This window comes from Homo sapiens, chromosome 18 (genome assembly GCF_000001405.40).
Source record: "Homo sapiens chromosome 18, GRCh38.p14 Primary Assembly".
Lineage (NCBI taxonomy): Eukaryota > Metazoa > Chordata > Mammalia > Primates > Hominidae > Homo > Homo sapiens.
In genome coordinates, this window is record NC_000018.10 from 26,754,069 (window position 1) to 26,772,254 (window position 18,186).

At 41.6% G+C, this 18,186-nt stretch overlaps 1 annotated feature.

Annotated features, from left to right (window-relative positions):
* Positions 14,425-14,644: a silencer, noted in NCBI's record as "fragment chr18:24348457-24348676 (GRCh37/hg19 assembly coordinates)". NCBI's record gives its function as "represses an EF-1alpha promoter that drives an FKBP-Casp9 reporter gene in an ReSE screen in phorbol 12-myristate 13-acetate-treated (for megakaryocytic differentiation) K562 erythroleukemia cells {active_cell/tissue: K562(+PMA)}" and the evidence as "EXISTENCE:reporter gene assay evidence [ECO:0000049][PMID:32094911]".

Consider the following 18,186-nt stretch of genomic DNA (forward strand, 5'->3'; position numbering starts at 1 on the left):
GGCTGGTCTTGAACTCCTGAGCTCAAGCGATCTGCCGGCCTCTTCCTTCCAAAGTGCTGGTATTATAGACGTGAGCCACCGCACCTGGCCAAAAGTCCACCAGTTTAAATGTTAACCTCAAACAAACAGCGTTTTCACACAAACACCCAGAATTCTATTTGACCAAATATTTTGGCAAGCTGGCTGAGCCAAGTTGATACTTAAAAGTAGCCATCACACCAACACTGTAGCTTTTGTCTGTTACTTGGTTAATGATGTGTTTTCATATCTGCCTCATTTCCTAGGCTGTGACCACCTCCAGGGTAGACACTATCTGAAGTGCCTAGTGTGGTTCCTGGAATTTAGTCACTGCTGGATACATGTTTACTTGATGAAATAGTAAAAAGGGAAGCAGGGTAGGAAACAAATGCTGTTTTGTCACCTGACCCTGGGAAGGCATAGGTTTTCTGAATTCTTAAAAAAATTTATTTGCAATATTTGTAATTACACAGCCTATACCTGTTTCAAATCAGATACTTATGATAAAAAGAACCTGTACTGAGGGGCCTGCATGTGCCAGGTACTATGCCAAGTGGCATCCATGTTTCTCATTGGCCACAGAAGGTACCCTCACAGATCAACAAATACTTACCTTCTTTTCCTGTAGAAAGGATGCAGCATGATTTCTTGTGGTCCTGTTTAGTTCTGAAACCATCTAACAACATTTCAGGGATGAATTTAGGGTGTTTTCTGTGGGGGGTGGAAAGCAGGACTAGAATTTTTTCATCTCAAATGCAGGTAACTTTTAGCTACATGTGTGGCAGATTGAATTGTTCAAATAAACCCCATGCAGTTCTTCAAGTTTCTGAGTCTGTGCTTCCCTTTCTTCTTTGCAGTGGTCCCTTGTGGGGATACTAGCATGTTTAACTGTTGTTATAAGCTGAATTCTGTCCTCTGAAATTCATAAATTGAAGTCCTAACCCCCAGTAACTCAGAGTGTGACCGTATTTGGAAATAGTCTTTAAAGAGGTAATTAAATTAAAATGAGGTCATTATGGTGGGACCTAATCCAATATAATATAACCTCCTCATAAGAAGAGGAGGTTAGGACATAGATATACACAGAGCAGAGGCCACGTGAGGCCACAGTGAGAAGGCGGCCATCTGTAAGCCCAGGAGAGAGGCCTCAGAAGAAACCAGCCCTGCTGCCACCTTGATCTCAGACTTCTATCCTCCAAAAATGTCAGAAAATAAATTTCTGTTGTTCAAGCCACCCAGTCTGTGGAATTTGTTATGGTAGTCCTAGCAAACCAATACAAGTGTGGATTTTTCATATACATTTGTTACTTTCACAACCAGATTCTTCATTGTTTTCATTCGTTTTGTAGCCAAACTTGATCCCACCTGAGTTCCCTGTCAATGCTCTCATAAAATTGCTATTTGGGGCAGAACATAAAAAGTTGAAAGAAGTCTTAAAGTCAAATAAATCTTGGCTTCCAACCCTTCCTTACTACTGCAAATGGCTACAGGGTTTAGGATAAATTTAAGAAGGACCTGACACTAGTCTGCATTCAATTAGCAAAACGACATGAGACAGAGGGAATGTCCTGCTCTGTTTTGCTGGATGACTCTGGTATAGTTAAGGATGCCCATGAAAACCAATCTGATGGTTCAGATCTGGGCAAGCACCACTTAGCTGTTCTCTCTAACTGTAGATTGCACCCCAGTCTTTGTAGCTGTTTATAGAAAAAATTAGTACGGCAAGTCAATGTATTTCATTGCCACTGCTGGAAATCTGAAAGAAAATGACTCACTGGGGCAGTATCTTTGACCTTCTACCAAGTGTAATACTTCTGATTATTGTTAGTTAATTTAATGGGAACCATAAACAGGTTCTCTTTCTTCTTCCTCAATGGACTCTATCGTGTACTTTAGAAACATGCCAAAAATGTATAATCACATGTTTTAAGAATATATATTTTGCTTTCTTTCAATACTTAAGTATAGAAAAATAAGAAAATAGCTTCCTTTTTTTCATCAAACATTAAGCAATATTTCACATTTTAGATTATTAAGTTTACATAAATAGTGTTATGTGTTCACTACTGAAATTCTTATGCATAGACAAAAGTCTACTTTTTGCCTTTTCCCCCCAACTTCCTGGCTCCTCTTAAACTTCAATGAAAAAGTATCTCTTCCTATCCTTGATCAAACAGCTTAATCTTCCCCTGCCTACGATTTTCAATTATACTGGCTTTGAAAGGTCTGAGGACATTGCATTAAAGACACTGCAAACAGTCTAGCATTATTGTAAGCTGGGCAGCCTCAAATCCCACATGAAGTCTAGATCTCAATTTATCATAACCCCTGGGCATGTCTACATTTTCTATAAACAAATTGGAATTATTTCCCCTTTTGATCTGGATATGCTAAAAAATAAATATCTGATTTTGGGATAAAAGCTTTTTTGTTTTTTTTTTTTTTTAAGTTAGGGGAGCCTGTTCCTGGTAAAAAGGAGGGGTGGGGAGCCCACCAGCCCTTGTGCAAGTTTCCCATCTCTCTCTCCTTAGCTGACAGAAGCACTATAGAGATTTAACCCCAGGCCTCTTTTCAGTTTAATTCCCATGGACATCTCCCATTATGGCAAAGGCAGCTGATAGGAAATCAGAGATGAAGCAATATTAAGTGTTACCCAGGGGACCTCTCATTTGGAGTTGAGAATGAATCACCTTTAGCCTCTCTCCTCCATCTCCGACACCTGCCAAGTATTGCCTGGGCTGTCAGTAGCTGTGTCTGGCGCCTGTGCAGGGTGGGAGCTTTGTAAGCATTTCTGCTCCTTCTCCTTAGTTCCAAAGCTTGTTTATGTTTCATTACCTTTTTCTTCCAAGGTGAACATGAGCTGTTAGGCAGTGCTCATGAAGCAATTGTTTGGCTTATATACCAAAATTTTCTCACATTCTTGCAGGACTGATTTTCTTCATGCCAAGCACAAAAAATGCTGTTCAATACACTTTCTCCTTTTCTCCTTGTGTAGTAAAGGAAGGATTCTTGGATATTTATCCAAAGTTTTGTCACACTGAAAAGAGAAGACTGCATTGAGGTGATGCTCCAAAAGGAGCAGCTTTGATGCAAAAGAAGCAAAACCCTTTTGTTTCTTGGGCTTATACGAAGGTACTTCCTTTAGATCAGAGTCGGGATGCATACACACTACAAAAACTGGAATGAAAAAGGCAAACCATTTTTACTCAACAGAATTCTCTGTACAGGTCAAGGAAATGCCAAACTTAACAGATGTCTTAGACTGTGCCCTGCAGGTCAATAAATTAGAGTTTTGTTGAACCAGGAAGAGGAAGGAATTCCAGGACTTCAGGTCCCCAAATGGAAATGCCCCTTAGGACAAGTCTAAACTAGGCAAATAGCACTGGAGCTCCTCCAAGTCAGTTGGCTCAGTCTCGTGTAACTCATTTCTGGCCCCCCTGAAGCTGTTTGTTCAACTGTGCCTTCTACAACGCTACAGTGTCAAAGAGAGTTAATCATTAGCAAGTGTGAATAATGTCAGTGTAACGCAGCATGATTGCAGTTCAGTCTGTTTTGACAAAATTCTAAGCATTTGTCAGAGTTTACCAAAAAACAAAAAACAACATGACCACAGAATGTTAAAATAGCATGAAGTTTGGGGAGCAGTTAATTCACTTTCTAGCATTTTACATCACCATTCTCATCGTTTTCCCAGAGGAGAGTGTTGGGTGAGGCCCTCCAGGTGATGCAGTATTACTGACTGGCCTGGTATGGTCTGATTCAGTTCAAGTCAGCTTAATGCAGCTCACCTCCAGAGATCCAGGCTTTGGAGAATGATCTAAAGGTTTAGGTGTAGGGTCCTTAACCTCCCCATTTTCCTTCTCCTTTGTCAGAGCCACCTACTGCCATAGAATTAATATGGACCCATCTGTGATGCAGAGCCTGTTAGGCCTCCTGCTTGTCCCCTGGGCTGGGGATCATAATGAGTCCAAGCCCTCCCTTTTGACTGGAACTGCAGGGGCCCTGGTCCTGGAACTCTGAGGTTGAGAATGGGATGTAAAGCTATATTCCAGCAAGCACTGAAGGATGAGTTTTTCTTGGGCTCATCTGAGTTCTGGATGAAATGAGAGTGATCATCCTAAAATAGAATCAAGAATTCCAGCAGGCACCCAAAATGGCTGTCCAGTTTTAGAGTCATGGCTTGAGGAGGCACTCAGCTAAGTCCTGCCAACAGTAGCTGAGTCCCAGGCCCTGGAATGCCTCTGAAAACCCTTCACATGTTATAACTATGATAATTAGGATGCTCTTCCAAGAAGGTGCACAGACAGACTTCATTTTTCCTGGGATCAGAGCCTCTCAGATATGCCCTTCTTCAGTTCACACACCGCTATTCATTTGCCTTGCTGCTTAACCCAGAAAGTCAGGACACGCTGGATAAGTCACCAAATCACACACCCTAAGATCTCCAATTATCCTTCTCTACTCTCTTCCTGTTGCCATAGGCTTAGTTTGGTCCTAGTAATTTCTCTCTTAGATTCCTTTTAGTTAGGCTTTATGACCCTCAAATTCAGTCAAGATGTTGCCAGAGTCCCCTCTTTAAAATGCAGAATTGCTCCAAGCACTCCCTTGCATGTTCAGCATGCCCCTTTCTGGTGGAAAAAGCCCAGCCCTTGGATACAGCCATCACTTCCTAATTGGGGGTTTACTTTCAGCCCCATTTCTGTTCTCTTGGGTGTTACAGCACAGAGAAGGGCTTCATGTGTCATGGACTTTCACACCTCTTGGCTCCTTCAAGCTGTTCCCTGTACCTGGGATACCCTCTGCTCATGGCCACCTTGAACATTCCATTTAGGAATTGTCATTAGGAAGCTGCTCGTTTACTCCCATTCTCCCTATCCTCTCCCCTACCCACCACCTTGAACTAAATGGCCCTCTTTTGTACTCCCTTAAGTCCTGGTCTATTGCATATTAAAGGATTTGATTCAAAATGTCTTGCTTGGCTAGATGGCAAAAGGAAATGATCCTAAATTGGTAGTTCTCAACCTTGCCGCACTTGGCAATTGCCTGGACATCTGGTCATCTGGTGAAAGGAAACTGACTCAGTGGAAGAGGAACAAGTCTGGGAGCCTTCTCGGGAGAACACCATGGGTCCTGCTCCCTAAGGTTCTGACCTACATGGTGTGGGGTATGGCAGGACATCAGGATTTAAAACCGTTCATGAGGTGATTCCAATGTGCATTAAGTTTGCGATCCTCAATTTTAACTGAACCCACCTTACTAAGGATAAGCAGGTTCATTTGGTGTTATAGACACACTGGTGTTGTCTTTCTGACATGCTTTGTAAGTTCTTCTGCTTTCTATTTCTCAATCAAAAGCTTTCTAATTTTTCAAATACAGGCACCAAATACAGTAGAGAATTGGGCCAAACATGGAAGAAGCTCTTGATTCTGGCCTCACTGTAGAATCATTACCTAAGAAACAAAAAATATGGATGCCTGGACTTGACTCTAGAGCTTAAAGAGCACATCAACTTCTCTGCATTACTCTGGATGGCAGCCTTCACAAGCCATCATTGCTCTTTGAGGAGAGGGGTCTTTTGTCTCAAAGATTGTCAGGAGAGAAGGATGGAGGGACATTGGGCGAGGAGAAAGAAAAGAAATTGGGAGGGAGGAAAGTACATACGACACTTGATGGGAATATTACCAATAACAGGTTTAGGTTCCATTCAGTACCACTAAAACAAGTCATGGGAAATTGCTTTCACTTCAGGCTTCTTAGCTACTGATCCTTGCATTTGGTAATAATTGTTGTGGTGAAAAGGAAAATCAAAATTTGCTTTGCACAGAGTAAAGATTTTCGTCCTTGGAGAATCTGGTAGAGGAAGGGAAATCAGTGGAAGGCTTTCTCATCTCACACTTGGATAAGATGCTCAGCTGGCAACCTGACACTAGTAGTTCAGTGGCAAAGTCAAAGCCGCGATGCTTTATTCCCTGTTAGTATGTCCCATAGAACTCTTAATAGCTTGCCTTGGAGTTGGAGAGAAGGGGGAGAAACAAATGTTTCTTTTACACTTTCCTCTTAGAAAAACAGAGGCAGTGTAGCTGGTTTCAACTTTCTACTGTGGATATGGCTTGTCCTGTCCATTCAAATTCCCCCCACCCCTGCCTAATTCATGGCAAACATACTAGGACACTTGAAAGTAGCAAATGAAATGGAGTGTCTAGTTTTTAAACCATGAATTTCAAAGAAGTAGCATATGGGGGCAGAGCGTTATGTTATTTTATTTCGTTTATTTATTTATTTTTTTGAGACAGAGTCTCATTCTGTCGCCCAGGCTGGAGCGCAGTGGTGCGATCTCGGCTCACTGCGACCTCTGCCTCCCGGGTTCTAGCAAGTCTCCTGTTTCAGCCTCCCTAGTAGCTGGAATTACAGGTGCTCACCGCCATGCCTGGCTAATTTTTTTTGTATTTTAGTAGAGACGGTGTTTCTCCGTGTTGCCCAGGAGCTTGAACTCCTGAGCTCAGGCAATCCACCTGCCTCGGCCTCCCAAAGTGCTAGGATTACATGCGTGAGCCACCACGCCCGGCCTGCTAGTCATTTAAATAAGAGACATAGCCAGACAAAGTGCAAATATAAGAACTCCTCTGAGTTTTGTATTTTCTTTTTTTTGTTTGTTTGAGAGGGAGTCTCACTCTGTCACCAGGCTGGAGTGCAGTGGCGCGATCTCAGCTCACTGCAACCTCTGACTCCCTGGTTCAAGCAATTCTTCTGCCTCAGCCTCCCGAGTAGCTGGGATTACAGGCATGCACCACCACACCCAGCCAATTTTTGTATTTTTAGTAAAGACAGGGTTTCACCATGTTGGCCACGATGGTCTCAATCTCTTGACCTCATGAGCCACCGCCTCGGCCTCCCAAAGTGCTGGGATTACAGGTGTGAGCCACTGTGGACTGGGTGAATTTTGTATTTTCACAAGGCTCATTTGTTGAGGATAACATTGTAGGAAGGTGAGCACATGTGACCTTTTCAATCATGAAATTTTATGAGACACATGCCTTTTTAGGTGGAGCTTACTGCTCTAGGTTTAAGAAGGTAGAGGGTTTCTATCCCTTGAGGATGGGAAGGTGTCTTGGACTCTGCTGTTTTCAAGCCAAAAGCTTACTTTTCTAACAATGCAATGAAGTATCTCCTTTATCTTACATCACATTGATGCTTTGCACACTCAAGTCCACAGGGGCACCTTCTCCGAGCCCTGTAGAGAGCTGGTGCCTCTCTAGTGCCTGGCCTGTGAGCAGCGCTCAGTAAAGCCTTGTTCCTTCCCACACCCTTTCCTCTCTATTTTCTTTTTCATGTGAGGGTACCTCTAGGATAACTGTGATTCTTATCTTCCCAATACCAGGGGGCAGTAAAGATTACGAGGTTTTCCTCTGTTTCTCCTGTTTTTAAACACCTTATGTAATAAAGAAAAAATGTTGAGCAAACTTGAATGGGTGCGTTTGAGTATTTATGTTTCCTATTCTATTTAAGTATTGCACTACATAGTTTCCAAGATGGCCTATAACAGTCCCCATCTCCTGGTATTCATTGCCTGTGTAATCTCCACCCATTGAGTAACTTGCTTTTAATGAGTAGCACATGTCAATCTTGAGGGGATGCTAATTCTGGGATCACATTACAAGAGAGTGTGACTTCTGTCTTGATATCTGATCCTCCCTGATGGCTTCATGAAGGAAGTTGCCATGTTGGGGAAGCCCATGTGGCAAGGATGTGAGAGCAGCCAGCAGTCAATAGCTAGCTAGAAATTGAGATTCTCCATCCAATAGGCCAAAAGGAATCAAATCCTGCCAACACTACATATGTGAGCTAAAAAGCAGATTCTTCCCCAAGTAACCTTCAGATGAGACCCTGGCCCTAGTTGACTCCTTGATTGTAGCTCTGTGAGAGACTATGAATCAGAGAACCCAGCTAAGTTGTGCCCAGGTTATTGACACACAGAAACTGAGATAATAAATATGTATTGTTTTAAGTAGCTAAGTTTATGGCAATTTGTTACACAGCAGCAGATAACTAATACAAATACAAACAATAATATAGTGCTGTCATATATAATTCCTCCATTGTTATAGACATCTGTTTTTTCTTACCTCTATAAAATGTTGATTATTATTATTATTATTTTGAGACAGGGTCTCACTCAGTCACCCAGGCTAGAGTGTAGTGGCAAGCTCACAGCTCACTGCAGCCTTGAACTCCTGGGCTAAAGCCATCCTCCCAGCTCAGCCTCCCTAGTAGCTGTGACTACAGGCATGCACCACCATGCCTGGCTAATTTTTGTATTTTTTGTAGAGATGGGGTTTTGCCACATTGCTCAGGCTGGTCTCCAACTCCTGGCCTCAAGCAGTCCTCCTTTCTTGGCCTCGCAAAGTGCTAGGATTACAGGCATGAGCCACCACATCCAGCCTATAAAAATGTTATAACAAAATTCTGGAGAGGAAAGAGATGACTCTTTTTTTTTTTTTTTTTGAGACAGAGTCTCGCTCTGTCGCCAGGCTGGAGTGTGGTGTCGCGATCTCGGCTCACTGCAACCTCTGCCTCCCGGGTTCAAGCGATTCTCCTGCCTCAGCCTCCTGAGTAGCTGTGACTGCAGGCACCTGCCACTATGCCTGGCTAATTTATTTTTGTATTTTTAGTAGAGAAGGTGTTTCACCGTTTTAGCCAGGATAGTCTCGATCTCCTGACCTCGTGTTCTGCCTGCTTCGGGCTCCGAAAGTGCTGGGACTATAGGTGTGAGCCAGCGTGCCCGGCCAGAGATGACTTTTTATGTGCCTTGGCATCTCCCTCAAAGTATTTAGTAAAAGTTTTCTTGTTTTCGTTTTTGTTTTTTTTTTTTTTGCATACAGTAAATGCCATTAAATATTTTTTGAAAGAATGAATAAAGGTATATTTTTATTGATGTTTTCAAAAAATGACTTGAATTCATGCCTTCTGATATTTGGCATGTCTGATTCTGCTATGTTCACATAGTTAAAAGGTTCATGCTTATTTCTTCTTGATGAATAAAGAAAAATTATTTCCACAAAACATTATAGGTTGTTTTGTTTGTTTGTTTTTTAGGAACTTGGAGAATGAGTAGTTCTACTTGTTTGCAGGCTTAATGAAGAACCAAATTGGATATAGTTTAGAAAGTGGGGTGAAATATATTTGACCTACAGATTCTGGGTCCTGATTATTTTCTGACTGCCTTTGCCCACATTTTTCATGCCACTCACCTAAAATGATGATGCATTTGTGGTATTGACAAATCTTTTCTTTTGGCTGCTGAGTTCTGTGTTAAGAAAGACATATATCAATCACTAATTAGTAAGTCCTAGTCAAATGGTGGGCGGGGGAGGGAATCCATGAAAATGTAAATACAAAAACAACAAGCCATATTATACTTAACAATTAGTTTGCTTTTTCCTGACCTCCTCCACTTTTTGGTACATCTTTTTTTAGACACAGGAGGCGAGAGGAAGTTCAGATTGGAGGCAGCCTTCCCACTTTTCTTTAGAGGAAGTCATCTTTGTCTTTATCTTTCCTTCCTTTACAGCACAAAAAGTTTTCAAAAGATAGAGCTGACTTCCCTGAATGGCTTCCCCATTCCTATTCCACTGTGGTAGCATTTTTGGGTCTGGACTCTGGACTTTGAATTTATAGCTGTCTTGTGTTCTCACTCTGGCAGAAAGACATCCTCTCCCTCAGGCACCTTGCCTCTTAACTCACTGCTTTGAACTACAGCCATATGGGTATGTGATCAATCTGTCTTCCTCAAGAAATCCAAAGAGCGCAGGCAGGGGAATCCATCTGGACCCTATGTAGCTCTCAGAGAGGTGGGAGAGAGCCCATCAGGTCTGAGCCGGCAGTAAATTGCCCGCAGGTGTAGCCAGGGACCCTTCTTCGTCTAGATGGCTTGAGATACACCATCCTGAACCTTGGCCCCTGGCCACATTCTTTCCTGATGGGTAGAGGAGGGTAAAGTTAATACTCACAGGAGTATTGTATTTCCAGTTCTTAACTGTGCTGCCTGCAAGCATGGCACAAGAACTACATGGGCAAACAAACTACTGAATTTCAGCAAGGCAGTTTAGCAAATTCTTTTATAAATTTGAAGGAACCTGTGGATTGGATGATTCTGCGTTGTGGCAGCATTGTCAACTGATGGACCCACCAGTTCCTGAATCCTGCTGACTAATGGATCATTGTCAACTTGCTGGAGCTTTGAGGAAGGTCTGTATTTAATCTGTACTGTTCAATGTTTGTTATCAGTAACTTGGATGAGATTATTCATGACACACTGATCACCTTTGTTGATTTTGTGAAGCTGGATGAGCTTCCCAAAGCTATTGAATGACTGAATACAAATCCAGAACTATTAGAACAATGAGTGAAATCTTACAAGACAGACTTCAGCAAGGATAAATGTAAGGTCCTACACTTGGATTTAACACACACACCCCTTAGTACTATTTGTTCTTGTCCCCCAGACAAGGGAGGATTGGATTTTGAGCACTGCACTTGTGTAGAAGGCAGGATGGTATTGTCTTGGGGGAGATGCTTAGCCAAAAGCTGACCATGCCATTCAACAAAATAATATCCAAAGAGGTTAGGGAGGCAGAGAGCATCTGGCTACAAAGCCAGCCAGATAGGGATCTGTTGACAGAGAGGTCTTGGAGAGGGTGGGGGAGGTAGGTTGTAGGCAGAGCCTGGGGCAGTTCCTGTGCTGATGGTTGCTGTACTGTTTTTTATCTGTTGTGATGGCCTTAGGCTTGGGTGGAGAGGGAACAGTGAAAGGCATCAGCCAGGTGTGGACAAGCATAAATACAGAAAGGGGAAACTATGTCTAGGAGTAGCATGCAGAAAAAAAGGCTCAGGGACTTGAATTGAAAACATGATGTGAGTCAGTATTAAAATGCGCTTGCCAAAATAGCTCATTTGATCTCTGGCTGCACTGGTAGATGTCTATAGAATTTGTAATGAGTCTTGGTCTGATATGACCCAGTGTACAGAGTCCAGTACTGGGCACTACATTTCATGAGGATCATTGGCACACCAGAAGGTAGCCAGAAGAGAGGCTTCTTTCATTCATTAAGTCGCCAAATATTTGATGAACACCTACTAAGTGTCAGATACTTTCCTAGACACTGGAGACTTAGTCACAAACAGGAGAGACCAGGTCCCTGTTCCTAGTAACCATCTGTTCTAGTGGACAGAGAGGTAGCAAAGTTGTACATAACTAAATAAGATCATTATACATAGGAATAAGTCTTACGAAAAATAAAGTAGGATGATGTGCTGGGACTTAATGGTGCGGGGTTGGGTATAATTTACTTATTTAGAGTGATCAAGGAAAGCCTCCCAGAAGAGCTGGGATCTGAAGAATGAGTAAGAGGTAAGCATAGAAAGACCCAGGAAAATAATTGTACAGGTAGAAGGAACAGCCAGTGCCAAGGCCCTGCAGAGGGAAAAGCTTAGAAAATAGAAAGGGGGCCAGTGTGTCTTGGAAGCAGTGAGCAGTATGACAGCAGGACAGCAAGTCTAGGTCAGAAATGCAAGGTAGGGTTGGCTGGTGCCAAGGACTCTAGTGAGGTGGTGCAAAATGATCCCATTTATTTTATATTATTACACAATCAGGTACACAGCACTTAACTGTGTGCCAAGCACTGTTCCAAGTCCTTCGCAAATATTAACTCATCCATCACCATGAAAATGATGGTGGTAAGCATGTTCTCACTCATAGGTGGGAACTGAACAATGAGGACACTTGGACACAGGGCGGGGAACATCACACACTGGGGCCTGTCGTGGGGTGGGGGAAGGGGGTAGGGGGTAGGGGGGAGGGATAGCGTTAGGAGATATACCTAATGTAAATGACGAGTTAATGGGTGCAGCACACCAACATGGCACATGTATACATATGTAACAAACCTGCACATTGTGCACATGTACCCTAGAACTTAAAGTATAATAATAATAAAAAAAAGAAAATGATGGTGGTAACTCATAACCAAATTACATTTTATAGCTAAAAATCTTAAAATTTTAATTTTTATTTCACAATTATTATTTCATTAGAAACATAAAATTCAGACTAAAAGGGCTTTTTAACATAGTGACTTTACCTACTTTGAATGCAAAGCACAGAAAATATGAAATAATTTGTCCAAGGGTCAAACCCCATGTATTTTCACTCTTGATGTCATTTGTTGTTTGAGCAATAAAGAAGGAACAGAGAATGTTTAACCCAGAGAAGATGTATCTTTGAGGTAATATATCTCTCTGATATTTCTGCATCATAGAGTTACAACACCATGACCATGTTTCAGAATTTGATGGGCTGTGCACAGTGGCCTCTAACACCTGACCAGAGACCCTGTGAGTCCTCTTTTCACACTGGTTGGGGTCAAATATTTGCTGAATTATTGTTTTTTTAGTTGTTGCTGTTCTTTTGTTTTGTGAAAACCTCAACGTATTAGAGAAATGCTTAAAATCTTTCCAATTTGTGGTTTTGATCCTTAAATTAGGGAGCGAGGAAGGAGTGCAGCATATACAACCATGATGCTGCTCTCATTTATTTATTAAATTAACACATATTTCATTGAGTACCTCTTCTGGGTAAGACTGTGCTTGGTGCTAGGTATAGAGAGATGAATGAAACAGATATGGTTCTTGCCCTTACACAGCTTACACTCTATGGGGAGGGACAGACAACAAACAAGATAAAAGCACGTATCTATGTAATTTCAAATCTTATTAAATGCTAAGGAAGCAATGAAATGTGTTTTTGTTATCTATTGTGCATTATAATTCCCACTGAAATTTAGCAGCTTAAAACAACCACGGTCATTTATTTTGCTCACATATCTGCCATTTGGACAGGGCTCAGTGGGAATAGCTTATCTCTGCTCCACACAGCACCAGCTGAGGTGCTTGAAGGATCCACTTCCAAGGTGGCTCACTGATGTATTTAACACTGGTTGTCATCTGGAAGCTCAGCTGGGGTTGTGGCTGGGGGCCTCCTTTCCTCTCTACCGTAGCCTTTCTGTGGGACTGCTTGGGCTTCCTCATAGCATGGTGGCTAAGTTCCAAGAAACTGTCAGTCTTTTTAAGTCCTAGGCCCAGAAATGGAAACAGTCACTTCTGCCATAGTTTGTTGGTCAAGTATGACCACAGAGCCCACCTAGATCCAAGGACATCTAGCCCAAGAGTGGTCATAAGCCAACTCTTGATGAGAAGAATGTAAAACAAAAAGTGTGGCCATCTTTGATCTATCATAAGCTGTTATTTCATAAGTTTCCATCTTTAAGTCTACTGCCCGAGATAGAGTTTATTTTTGCCTGCAGATTTTCCCTATAATTATAAGGTGTTGACATTGGCTTATAGGTGCTGGTTTAGCTGTGAGTTTAAGGTATGACCAGTTCATGAAGATTGTTATTAACAGATTATCATGTTTCTCTGTTGATTATATATTTTATTTAAAAAATATCTTTATTAAATAAGAATTAAAGAGCAGGATACAGACTGAATCCCAACCCTTTGACTATCTTATCAGAAGATTGGAAGCACCTGGTTAGTTTTTATCAGCGCCTGGAGAGAAGAAAGAAAATGAACTTCTATTGAGGGCTTACTACGTGCACAGGTGATTCATTTAAGGCAGCTTGTTAAATCCTCCTAAACACCTTTCTAGTTATTCAGTTTCCACAACCAAAAAATAGAGATACTACTAACTTGAAAGGTGTTTAGGAGGATTTAACACACTACTTTAAATGAATCCCCTGTGCACACAATAAGTACTTAATAGAAGTTACTTCCCTTTCCCCTCTCCAGGTTCTGATCAATTTCTGTCTTTCTTCCCTCAAGGCAAACTCATCAAGAGAACAATCAGTTACCTGGTAGCTATCTTCACTAGTCCTTGCTTCACTCTCTCCCTCAATCATTGACTGATTGAAACCTTTGGGGCTAAAATGTGATATTCCTGATTCACACATGCACACACACGCAGACGCGTGCACGGACATGACATTATTTCTCTCTTTGCTCACTTAGCAGTGAAACAAAAGGTCTAGCTCACTTAAAAACTTGTCTCCAAGTTCTGATTCAATAAAAACAAACCAGAGAAAAGTAGAACAAATTTGAAGAGAAATAGGAGATTCTGAAGTGGATACAGATGGTTTCTTCACAGCAGCAGACACTCCCCTTATTATCTTTCTTTTGCTGGTGCCCTTGACTTCTCTACCTTGCCCTTAACCCTGCCCAAATTAGGGCATCAGGGGTAGAGAAAGGAAGCCCCTTCCCTGTTTCAAGCTGTAAACCCTGCACATCCTTCCTGTGTATCCCTTTGTGCAGCCTGGCTTATCCATTCCGGAAGGTTTGTTTATTCCTTCTATTTGCAACCGACAGATCAGGAGAGAGAAAAGGAAGGAATTACCTCGGATGGCTGGAGCGGAGAACTAATGAAGGGAAGGCTCCAGGGCTTTGCCAATGGGGCATCTGGCCGGAAAATCTGTGGATGAATCAGCACAAGTGGATGCTCGCTGTTACAAAAATGGCCCAAATCACATATTCTAGTGATCATTGTTGATGGTATCATATTAAAAGTGAACTGCCATGGAAGAATGCTAACTTTTGTTGGTGCTTGAGGTGTAGGAGTCCAGAGACATTCGATTGGGTGTTTTGAAAGCAAAAGGCCAGTCTCCAGACACGTTTTAGTGTCAGCATTCAGACTTTCACAGCTTTGGCTACCTCTATGTGCTATTATAAATTGATGTCATTACAAAGATATTATAATACCTATCTTTTCTCCTAGAATCATGAAAAGGACTATCCTTAATATGGAATTGGATATTAAAAGCCGTTTCTTATCCGTGTGTCCTAAAGCAATAAATGACTTCTATAATTAATTAGTGCATGGGTCATTCCTGGAATGCTGATTGTCATTCTGTGGTTTAAAATCACAACCTGGGATTTTCTTTTTTGTCTTTTGTCCATATGTGACTCTGAGTAGCCAAATCTAAGTATCATTTGCTCTAGATGCTTGACATAGTTTATATGCCTAGCAATTATGACTGCCAAATATTTTACATTGTGAAGCCAAATGGCAAAGTCACACTTATAGGGTGCAAAAAGGAAATCAGATATCGAGTATGATACCACACATTCAATAGAGAATGAGAGTTCAGGACACGGCCTGTGGAGTTGAACTGACCTGAATGAGAACTCAGCTTTCTCATTGAATGACTGAATGCCTTGCACAGTCATTTTACGTCACCAAACCTCTGTTTCCTCATCTGTAATATTGGGATAACAATGACATGACCTCATTAGGTTCTTACATGGAATAAATGGGACAACCCATGTAGAAGGTTTAGCACAGTCCCCGGCACAGAAGGGACTCAGTAAATACTAGATGTTATTTGTGCAGGAATAGATGTGGTGCCTGCAACCTTGCTGTATAACCTTGGAGAAGTTTTTTAGCCCCTTTTCCTTTTCTATTTCTGTACGTTCTTATTTGCTTATTTGTTAGGGTTATTGATTGGATGTAGTACCTGTTAAATACCATCTTGTACTGGTATTTGTCTTTGTATGTGTGTCTCATTGTCTCAAGTCCTCTATTATGTGTTGGAGGATAGGGGCTGTGTTCCACATCCTTTTGTCGTTTCCACTGTGACTTAACTGGTGGTTTGCACACTGTGTGTGCTCAATGCTGATTGATGATAATGGTGAGCAAATCATAGTGTGTGGTGGAAGCAAATCAAGATCAGGTAGTCCACTTTCACATGCATGAGAAAGCTTCAAGTTTGCGGGAAAAAAGAACTCCTTTTTTTCTTTATGGTTATAGAGACTTCACCCTTCCTCCTGGACAGTCACTTTACATCCTCTCACTTTCACGGAATGAAACAGGCAGATGATCAGATGTAAATATTAATATGTCATAGCTATGGGCAAAACAACTCCAGATGACTGTTTATACAAATTTTGGGGTCAAAAGACTTTATTACTCTAACTTTTGGACAAAAAATGTTCTATGAATACAGATCTTTTTAAAAATTGTGGTAAAATTAAAAAAAATTGTGGTAAAATATACATAAAATTTACCATATGAACCATTTTTAAGTGTACAGTTCTCTGCCATTAAGTACCTTATTGTGCAAACATCAGCATCATCCATCTCCAGAACTTTTCATATTTCCCAGGTGAAACTCTGTACCCATTAAACACCAACTCCCCCCTCCCCCCACCTTAGCCCCTGGCAACATCATTCTACTTTCTATCTCTATGTTTGACTTTAGGTACCTCATATAAGTGGAATCATACAGTATTTGTAATGTTAGGACTGGCTTATTTTACTTAGCATAACGTCCTTGAGGTTCATCTATGCTATACCAGGTGTCAGAATTTCCTTCTTTTTTAAGCCTGAGTAATATTCAGTTGTATGTATAGACCACATTTTGTGTATGAATTCATCCAATGATGACTCTTGGGTTTCTTCCACCTTTTGGCTATTATGAATAATGCTGCTGCAAAACATGGCTATACATTTTTTTTAAAATATGGCAGTGTATTAGGTTTCTCCAGAGAGACAGAACCAATAGGATATAGATAGATACGTGGATATAGATTTGGATAGATAGATGAGAAGGGTTTTATTAGGGGAATTGGATTACATGGGTATGGAGGCTGAGAAGTCCCATGACAGGCCTTCTGCAAGTTGGAGATCCAGAGATGCTGCTAGCGTGGCTCCATCCTCGTCTGCAAGCCTCAGAGAACCTAGGCCAGGGGCAGGGGTTCGGGGGAGGTAGGGGTCATTGGTGTAAGTCCTAGAGTCCCAACACTCAGTTGACTGACTCACATTTCAATCTCTTCTGAAAACACCCTCATAGAAAGAAGGAATGCTTTACTATTTCTCTAGGTATTCCCTAGTCCAGGCAAGTTGACACCTAAAATTAAGCATCACAAGTAGTGTAGACTATGATTATGGGCTTTCTTGTGTAACTCTCAGGTTACTCCCTTTCATAGAAGGATTAACGCTGGCTACCATCCTGTAGTGATACAACTTTGTTTTCTGTTTTTCCGCATGTGTCACCACTACGTGAATTATTTCCTGCTTATGGGAACTGGTGTCTACAGCCTGTGTGAGTATTGTGGCTGTGCTTCTGTTCCAGTCTTCTTTATTGAGGGAAATATTTGAGAAGAGTCCTTACTGCTTAAAACTAAAGCTTGGGAATTGCTTGCTTGAGTTAGATTTACCCAAAAAAGAAAAACGTAAAAAAAGAGACAAAATGTAAGCAAGCTACACTGATACACGTCTCGGACACAGCTTCCTCCACCCCATGCCAGGCTATGTGCTGCCATTTGAACGGGTATCAACTTTCTTGTTGTTTAAAAGGAAAGGGCCCTGGTGGGCTGATTCTGTGACTCGGTGCACATATGGCAGACCCAGTGCTGTCATAAAGAATTCAGTGATCCCAGAACTGATTTATTTTATTTTGTTTTTAAATCTGAAGACCAGGTTCTTTTGAGGTATTAAGTTCTGGGCACCAGCGTTTGCAGATATATCACTGCTCAGGGCAGAAATGCCTTCCTGTGCAGGGAAACCTCCCAAGAAGAGTGAGCCTCCTCTCCTCCTGCTGGTGAGACCAGAGAAGTGTTTCTAACATTGTTGAAATGAAGCAAAGTTATCCTTCTTTTGACCCTGCTGTAGCATCTGGGGTCATCTTTTTGTTTACTGTGTATTTGTTTTTGACCTTCAGAAGGTCCTGGTGGCACAGCCCAACAAAGACTAGAGAATAAAACAAACAGATGCAAAACAAAACAAAGTCTTTAATCATTTCCAGATACCACCACCCCACATGGCAATGTGGCTCTCAGCTTATAAGGTGATTTGATTTTAGAAGCCAACTGTGTTCTACATAACTTATACTGTCACCTGTCACGTTGTAATATACCTAGTATGTTAGTCCATTTTTACACTGCTATAAAGAACTGCCTGGGACTGGGTAAATTTATAAAGGAAAGAGGTTTAATTGACTCCCAGTTTTGCATAGCTGGTGAGGCCTCAGGAAACTTACAATCATGGTGGAAGGGGAAGCAAGGCACCTTCATAAGGCGCCAGGAAGAAGACTGAACACAGGAGGAACTACCAAACACTTATAA